General features: G+C 46.6%; 3 annotated features.

Annotated features, from left to right (window-relative positions):
* Positions 746 to 1,252: an enhancer, noted in NCBI's record as "NANOG-H3K27ac hESC enhancer chr10:104151792-104152298 (GRCh37/hg19 assembly coordinates)". NCBI's record gives its function as "activates a minimal SCP1, AML or CMV promoter by ChIP-STARR-seq in naive H9 embryonic stem cells {active_cell/tissue: H9 hESC(naive)}" and the evidence as "EXISTENCE:reporter gene assay evidence [ECO:0000049][PMID:30033119]".
* Positions 1,253 to 1,760: an enhancer, noted in NCBI's record as "NANOG hESC enhancer chr10:104151284-104151791 (GRCh37/hg19 assembly coordinates)". NCBI's record gives its function as "activates a minimal SCP1, AML or CMV promoter by ChIP-STARR-seq in naive H9 embryonic stem cells {active_cell/tissue: H9 hESC(naive)}" and the evidence as "EXISTENCE:reporter gene assay evidence [ECO:0000049][PMID:30033119]".
* Positions 5,406 to 5,966: an enhancer, noted in NCBI's record as "H3K27ac hESC enhancer chr10:104147078-104147638 (GRCh37/hg19 assembly coordinates)". NCBI's record gives its function as "activates a minimal SCP1, AML or CMV promoter by ChIP-STARR-seq in naive H9 embryonic stem cells {active_cell/tissue: H9 hESC(naive)}" and the evidence as "EXISTENCE:reporter gene assay evidence [ECO:0000049][PMID:30033119]".

Below are 8,742 nucleotides of genomic sequence, written 5' to 3'. Positions count from 1 at the left end.
TCCTCCTACTTTGGCCTTCCAAAATGCTTGGATTTTGGATTACAGACGTGAGCCACTGTATGCTGCCGAATTGCCTCTTATAGACCTTCCAATTTCCACCTGAACACTTCTAGAGGCAGCGAGGTCAGGACAGAAATTCACCAAGCACGGAGTACATGACTGGACCTCTCTCTGGTCAGTAGCGTTTCTCCTTAGCAGGTGCCATGAGTAATCTCCCTGCCTGGAGTCCTCCTCCCTTAGGCTTATGGTAGAACATAAACTATCTCGGGTCTTTCCTGCAGCTTGCCCCAGACGTTTTTAAGAACAGAATCACAGGCCTGCACTGGCACTAAGTAAAGAGAGACTATTATGGCTCTCGATTTGGGCTGTTTCCTATTACTTCCCCACCCCTCTTCATCTTGCCTGCAAATATAGTGTCCTAGTTGCTAGGTTCGGGTACTTTAGAAGTTCTTATTCTCCCTCCCAACAACCCTAGGAGGTGAATATTACTTTTACTGATGAAGAAATTAAGGCTCAGAGAGGTGGAGTAACAACCAAACACACAGCTAGAAAGGGACAGAGCCAGGATTCAAACCCAATCTGTTGACTCCAGGATGAAGCTTTCTCCCCTAAGTTTATATAAAACAAAGCAGCCCTTTCCACCTTACTGTGGGCCTCTCAAACAAATATCATAAGATTCTGCCAAACAATTTGCTGAAATCCAGATATGTTGTCTACTACGTTTCTCTGGTAAGTCAGATTCCTAACCTTAAATTAAAATGGACTAAGGCCGGGCATGGTGACTCACACCTGTAATTTCAGCACTTCAGGAAGCCAAGGCTGGTGGATCACTTGAGCCCAGGAGTTCGAGACCAGCCTTGGCAACATGGTGAAACCCCGTCTCAAAAAATTGAAGGGGTGGGTTGCCCCTCCACACCTGTGGGTGTTTCTCGTGAGGTGGAATGAGAGACTTGGAAAAGAAAAAGACACAGAGACAAAGTATAGAGAAAGGACTCGAGGAACCAGCATTCAGCATATGGAGGATCCCGCCAGCCTCTGAGTTCCCTTAGTATTTATTGATCATTCATGGGTGTTTCTCTGAGAGGGGGATGTGTCATGGTCACAAGACAATAGTGGGGAGAGGGTCAGCAGACAAACAAAGGTCTTTGCATCATAGACAAGGTAAAGGATTAAGTGCTGTGCTTTTAGATATGTATACACATAAACATCTCAATGCTTTACAAAGCAGTATTGCTGCCTGCATGTCCCACCTCCAGCCCTAAGGCGGTTTTTCCCTATCTCAGTAGATGGAACGTACAATCGGGTTTTATACCGAGACATTCCATTGCCCAGGGACGGGCAGGAGACAGATGCCTTCCTCTTGTCTCAACTGCAAGAGGCATTCCTTCCTCTTATACTAATCCTCCTCAGCACAGACCCTTTACGGGTGTCGGGCTGGGGGACGGTCAGGTCTTTCCCTTCCCACGAGGCCATATTTCAGACTATCACATGGGGAGAAACCTTGGACAATACCTGGCTTTCCTAGACAGAGGTCCCTGCGGCCTTCCGCAGTGTTTGTGTCCCTGGGTACTTGAGATTAGGGAGTGGTGATGACTCTTAACGAGCATGCTGCCTTCAAGCATCTGTTTAACAAAGCACACCTTGCACAACCCTTAATCCATTTAACCCTGAGTTTGACACAGCACATGTTTCAGAGAGCACGGGGTTGGGGGTAAGGTCATAGATTAACAGAATCTCAAGGCAGAAGAATTTTTCTTAGTACAGAACAAAATGGAGTCTCCTATGTCTACTTCTTTCTATACAGACACAGTAACAATCTGATCTCTCTTGCTTTTCCCCACAAAAATACAAAAATTAGCCTGTCTCATAACTAGGTCTCTAAATAAATAAATTAAAAATTAAAAATTAAATGTATAATGGAGTAAATTCATCTTGGTATACTCTAGCTTAGTAAACCCGTGCTGGTTACCACTGATCACATCTATCCTTTCAAAGTGCTCATAAATTGCCACCAAAATCAGCACGGATTCTTTGAGTCTCCACAACATCTCTAAAAGCACCCCTAAGGGTTGAGCTATTTTAGTTACAACAGTCTAAGGCGTAATTTATCTAAAGATGAACAAAACAAGACCTTTATTAGAGAACATTTCAAACATACAAAGATTTTCACTTTGGGAGGCTGAGGCAGGCAGATCACTTGACCTCAGGAGTTTGAGAACAGCCTGGGCAACATAGGGAGACCTCATGTCTACTTAAGTTAGCCACATGTGATGGTGAGTGCCTGTAGTCCCAGCTACTCGGAAGGCTAAGGTGGGAGGATTGCTTGAGCCCAGGAAGTTGAGGCTGCTGTGAGCCATGTTCGTGCCACTGCATTCCATCCAGCCTAGGTGACAGACAGACGCTGTCTCAAAAAAAGAAGAGTGGAGAGAATAGTATAATGAGCCCTCGTGTGCCCCTCTGTCAGATTCAACAATTCCTAATGCATGTTAGCCTGGAGATTTAAACTAACTCAAAATAGCTTGTCACTTGCTAGAGCCTCATCTATCTGGGCTTAAGAAACCTCTTTGTTAGGCTGGGCACAGTGACTCATACCTGTAATCCCAGCACTTTGGGAGGCTAAGGCGGGTGGATCACTTGAGGTCAGGAGTTCGAGACCAGCCTGGCCAACATGGTGAAACCCTGTCCCTACTAAAAGTACAAAAATTAGCAGGGTGTGGTGGTGGGCGCCTGTAGTCCCAGCTACTAGGGAGGCTGAGGCAGGAGAATCGTTTGAATCTGGGAGGTGGAGGTTGCAGTGAGCCGAGATCATGCCACTGCACTTCAGCCTGGAAAACAAAGTGAGACTCCATCTCAAAACAAAGAAGAAAGAAAGAAAGAAAGAAAGTTCTTCATTGCATGTTACACTAATTTTCATCCTAATCGTCATCTGTTTCCGCACCCAGCTCTAGCACAATGCCTAGCCCAGAGCAGATGCACCACTAATTTATTCCATTCATTTACCGATAAATAGTGAGAGCCCACTCCATTAAACAACACCGCTGCTTGCAGGCAAAACTCAAACAGATATATATCAGTTGGTAATAAGTGCTACAAAGAAAAATTAAGTAGGTAAAGGATTGAGAGTGACAAGGATTTTCTAGGTATCAGTCAAAGCAGGACTCTCTGATAAGGTAACAATTAAACAGTGACTTGAAAAAGTGAGGGAGTGAGTCATGGGGAATATCTGGAGGAAGAGTGTTCCAGGTGGAGGGAACAGTAGGGCCAAGCTCTGATACAAGTGTTTGGCATATTTGAGGAACAGCAAGAAAGTTAGTAGGTGGAATAAAGTAATAACTTTGGGTTTTGTTCTGATCAAGATGGAAAGCCGTTAGAGAGTTCTGAGCAGTGGAGTGAAAATTGTATAATGTATCCTTTTTTTTTTTTTTTTTTTTGAGAGAGGCTCTCATTCTGTTACTCAGGGTGGTGTGCAGTGGCGTGATCATAGCTCACTGCGGCCTCAAACTCTTGGGCTCAAGCAATCCTCCCACCTTAGCCTCCTGAGTAGCTAGGACTACAGGCACATGCCACCATGTGCAGCTAATTTTTGCATTTTTTTGTAGAGATGGGTTTCACCATGTTGCTCAGGCTGGTATCCAACTCCTGCGCTCAAGTGACCTGCCCACATTGACCTCTCAAGGTGTTGGGATTATGGGTGTGAGCCACCATGCCCAGCCTAAATTTTTATTTTTTAGTTTTTTTTTTTTTTTTTTAGAGACAAGGTCTTGCTGTGTTGTCCAGGCTGGGGTATAATGTGTCTTAAAAGGATCCATTTGGGCTGCATGCCTGTAATCCCAGCACTTTGAAAGGCCGAGGCAGGAGGATTGCTTGAGCCCATGAGTTCGAGACCAGCCTGGGTAACATGGTTAAACCCCTTCTCTACAAAAGATGCAAAGATTAGCTGGGTGTGGTGGCATGCACCTATATTCCCAGCTACTCAGGAGTCTGAGGTCAGAGAACTGCATGAGCCCAGGAGGTGAAGATTGCAGTGAGCCTAGATTGTGCCACTGTACTCCGGCCTGGGCAACAGAGCGAGACCGTCTCAAACAAACAGAAAAGGATCCGTTTGGCTGCTGTGTAAAGACTATCGAATGCAAGGACCTAGGAGGAAGGAGGGAGACCAGGAGTCCAACAGACAGCGGCTGAGGCTTGGGTGCTAGTGGATGATGAAGGTGGTGGGAAGTAATCGCAATTCTAGATAGATTTAAAGATAGAAGTAACAAGACTTGCTGAAGATTAGATGCAGGATGTGAGAAAAGAGGGGGTTTTGGCATAAAAAGAATGGAATTGTCCTTTAGTGATGTGGGGCACACTGAGAGAGGAGCAGATTTGTAGGGGGTATCAAGAATTTTTCCTTTTACTTATTTTTATTTCTCTTTAATTATTATTATTATTTTTTTTTGAGACAGAGTCTCACTGTGTTGCCCAGGCTGGAGTGCGGCGGCGCCATCTCGGCTCACTGCAATCTCCGCTTTCCGGTTTCAAGTGATTCTCCTGCCTCAGCCTCCCGAGTAGCTGGGATTACAGGCACCCGCCACCACGCCCGGCTAATTTTTGTATTTTTAGTAGAGACAGGGTTTCACCATGTTGGTCAGGCTGGTCTTGAACTCCTGACCTCGTGATCTGCCCGCCTTGGCCTCCCACAGTGCTGGGATTACAGGCGTGAGCCGCCGTGCCCAGCCTTTTTTTTTTTTTTTTTTTGAGACAGTCTCACTCTGTTGCCCAGGCTGGAGTGCAGTGGCACAATCTTAGCTCACAGCAACCTCTGCCTCCCGGGTTCAAGCGATTCTCCTGCCTCACCCTCCTGAGTAGCTGGGATTACAGGCCCCTCTCAATGGGAGCCCTGGGGCTGAGTGACTCTGCTCATTCACAGCCACTTGTCTTCCAACCAGTGAGCCCTCAACAAAGGTAAATACCCATGGCTCCAATAACCACAGCTTTTGTTGTTCCTAGTATTTTTTTCTATTTGGTGGCGGGGCAGGGAGGAATGCCCATTGTAGCTCATTCTATATTTTGTTCTTTCTCATATCATTATGTGTGTAGAAAATTCACATATTTTTCTTGGTTGTGGGCATCTGTTTCCAGTTTTTATAAACTCCTACTAAACTCTGAGCTCACTAGGTAATAACCTGTTTCCTCAGGTACTTAGCCTTTTATTTCACATGAGAAGCTACAGAAAATGTGTTTAGCTTTGGAGGGTTTCTATACCACCACCACCACTACTTTTATTTATTTATTTATTTATTTATTTATTTATTTATTTATTTATTTATTTGTCTGAGACAGAGTCTCGCGCTCTTGCTCAGACTGGAGTGCGGTGGTGCCATCTCGGCTTACTGCAACCTGTGCCTCCCAGGTTTAAGCGATTCTCCTGCCTCAGCCTCCCGAGTAGCTGAGATTACAGGTGCCCACCACCACTCCTGGCTAAATTTTTTTTTTTTTTGAGAGGGAGTCTCGCTCTGTTGTCCAGGCTAGAGTGCAGTGGCACAATCTCAGCTCACTGCAACCTCCACCTCCTGGGTTCAAGCGATTCTCCTGCCTCAGCCTCCTGAGTAGCTGGGACTACAGGCGTGTGCCACCGTGCCCGGCTAATTTTTTTTTTTTTTGTATTTTTAGTAGAGATAGGTTTCACCATGTTAGCCCGGATGGTCTCGATCTCCTGACCTCGTGATCCCCCTGCCTCGGCCTCCCAAAGTGTTGGGATCACAGGTGTGAGCCACCACACCCGGCTTATTTTTGTATTATTAGTGGAGATAGGGTTTTGCCATATTAGCCAGGCTGGTGTCAAACTCCTGACCTCAGGTGATCCGCCCACCTCAGCCTCCCAAAGTGTTGGGATTACGTGTGTGAGCCACTGCACCTGGCCTCACCATCACTACTTCTGAATGGAAAAAGTGTCATACCAAAGAACACAAGGTTTAGAGTGACACTGACTTGGGTTTGATTCCCAGCTCCCTAAATTCCATGACTTGGCCTCTGAACCTATAGCCTCATCTGTAAGAGGAGAAAATGCCTCTAAAATGTTGTTTGAAGGTTGAGGTGGGAGGATCACTTGAGCCTGGGGGTCAAGGCTGCAGTGAGCTGTGATTGTGCCACTACACTCCAGCCTGGGCAACAGGGGGAGACCCTATCTCAAAAAACAAAACAAAAACAGCCGGGTGCAGTGGCTCACACCTGTAATCCCAGCACTTCGGGAGGCCAAGGTGGGTGGGTTACCTGAGGCCAGGAGTTTCAGACCAGCCTGGCCAACATGGTGACACCCCATTTCTACTAAAAGTACAAAACATTAGCCAGTGCCAGTTGCGGTGGCTCAGGCCTGTAATCCTAGCACTTTGGGAGGCCGAGGCGGGCAGATCATGAGGTCAGGAGTTCGAGACCAGCCTGACCAACATGGTGAAACCCTATCTTTACTAAAAATACAAAAATTACTTGGACGTGGTAGCACGCACCTGTAATCCCAGCTACTCAGGAGACTGAGGCAGGAGAATTGCTTGAACCCGGGTGGTGGAGGTTGCAGTGAGCCGATATCGCGCCACTGCACTCCAGCCTGGGTGACAGAGCAAGACTCTGTCTAAAAACAAACAAACAAATAAACAAAAACATTAGTCAGTTGTGGTGGTGCACACCTGTAATCCCAGCTTCTTGGGAGGCTGAAGCACAAGAATTGCTTGAACCCAGGAGGCGGAGGTTGCAGTGAGCCAAGATTGCACCACTGCACTCTAGCCTGAGTGACACAGTGAGACTCTGTCTCAGAAAAAAACAAAAAACAAAAAACAAAAAATCCCCCTCCCCACATTAAATAAAAATAAAATGTTTGAGCAAGGCACTCAGTACTGACACATATAGGCGCTCTAGCGATGCCAGTGCTCTATGTTAGGGTCTTAGGTCATGGAACCATCTCTACCTTTCCTCCTGACTTTATCTGCTATCCTGGATTTCTGGTGGGAGATGTCATTAAGACCAGCATTTCCCTCCAGACTATGTTATTACTTTTCCCCAAGGTTTGGTTACTTCCACATCACCAAGCCATTCTTCTTTGTTGGTCAGGATTAAGGCTTACTTATTAGTTCCTCTTGCAGCTTCCTTTGCTTTCTGAGACAAGATTGTCCATAATACAAATCACGCATATCAGCTGGTCTTTTGTTTTTTAAATATATTTTTGAAATATTTTTAAAAATAGAGATGGGGGTCTCACTATGTTGCCCAGGCTGATCTCAAACTCCTGGCCTCAAGTGATCCTCCCACCTCAGCCTCCCAAAGTACTGGGATTACAGATGTGAGCCACAGCACCGGGCCTCAGCTACTTTTTAATAACAGAATGCAACTTCCAGCAAATGTTTTTCTTTGCTTCCCAGCAGGGAGACGGCCAGTTTGCAATTGCTCCAGCTTTTTTTTTTTTTTTTTGAGACAGAGTCTTGCTCTGTTGCCAGGCTGGAGTACAGCGGCACCATCATAGCTCACTGCAGCCTCAACCTCCCAGGCTCAAGCACTCCTCCTGCCTCAGCTTCCCAAGTAGCTAGGCCACAGATACATGGTCTTGAACTCCTGGGCAAGCGATCCTCCTGCCTCAGTCTCCCAAAGTGCTGGGATTACAGGCGTGAGCCACCGCACCCCACCCCACTCCTGTTCCCACTTCTTTCCTAATTTTTGAGATTGGTTTTATAAGGAACATTAGAGCTGTCCTATTTCTTTGTTCATAGGATGGCCTTCAGACTTATTTGCAGCAGTTAACACTATTTCTCCCATAGGGAAACACATGGAAGCTTCTAAAGGCAGAGCTTGTGGGGCTCAGATGGGAGAACAGAGACACCACAGTTGAAGCCAAATGCCCCAGTATCTAGCTGGCTGTAGATCCAGGCTTTTCTGCACACACATAGAGCTTTCTGCCCCTCCTAATTTTCCCAGGGGCAGGGTTGGGCAAGACTTCTGGTTAGTATGCAAACCAGGCATGGCCTGGACTTCAGGAAGAAGGAAGGGAAGAGGGAGAAATTAGCCTAAGAGCTTCCGGTTTCATATCAGTATTTTTCCACTTCAGGTTGTTCCCACTCTGAGGTGCCTTTTTCTACACTGAGGGAGGCGTTGCAGAGGTCCAAATGCCCAGCCATGTGCATGTGCTGAGCAAAGGGAAGCCTGGTGCTGGAGAATCATACTGCCAGCTGGGCCCCAGTGCAGGGGGTGAGTGCCCCTAACTCTCTGTGATGGAGGCCAGCTGGAAGTACAACAGGGCCACACTGTTCTCTGTGCCCCAGGGAAGGGAAGGCACCATTGCGGAGGTGGAAACCAAGATGATGTGGATGCTTCACTTGGGAAAGCTTAATACCCAGCATTTTGTATCCCACCATGAGAGGGGAAAACACCTTCAAAGTGTTTCTATTTTCTCACTCAAAAACAATCAACACAGAAGACTTCTGTGACCAAATGTGTGTGTGTGGGAAAACCCCCACACACCAGGCAAGCAATCAGCTCTATAGTAGACACCAGCTGGGTGGCCTCCAATTCAATTCTGACACTATCTAATTGGAAATAGTGCCAGGTCCCATAGGTTGAGGGCTCATTCCCCAGGACTGTACTCTACTTCTTTACAAAAATGCTTTTTTTTTTTTTTTAAATAGAGACAGGGTCTCGCTATGTTGCCCAGGTTGGTCTTGAACTCTTGGCCTCAAGGGATCCTTCTGCCTCGCCTCTGAAAGTGCTGGGATTACAGGT

Source organism: Homo sapiens, chromosome 10, assembly GCF_000001405.40.
Source record: "Homo sapiens chromosome 10, GRCh38.p14 Primary Assembly".
NCBI lineage: Eukaryota > Metazoa > Chordata > Mammalia > Primates > Hominidae > Homo > Homo sapiens.
This window is presented reverse-complemented; position numbering and strand designations above follow the sequence as displayed.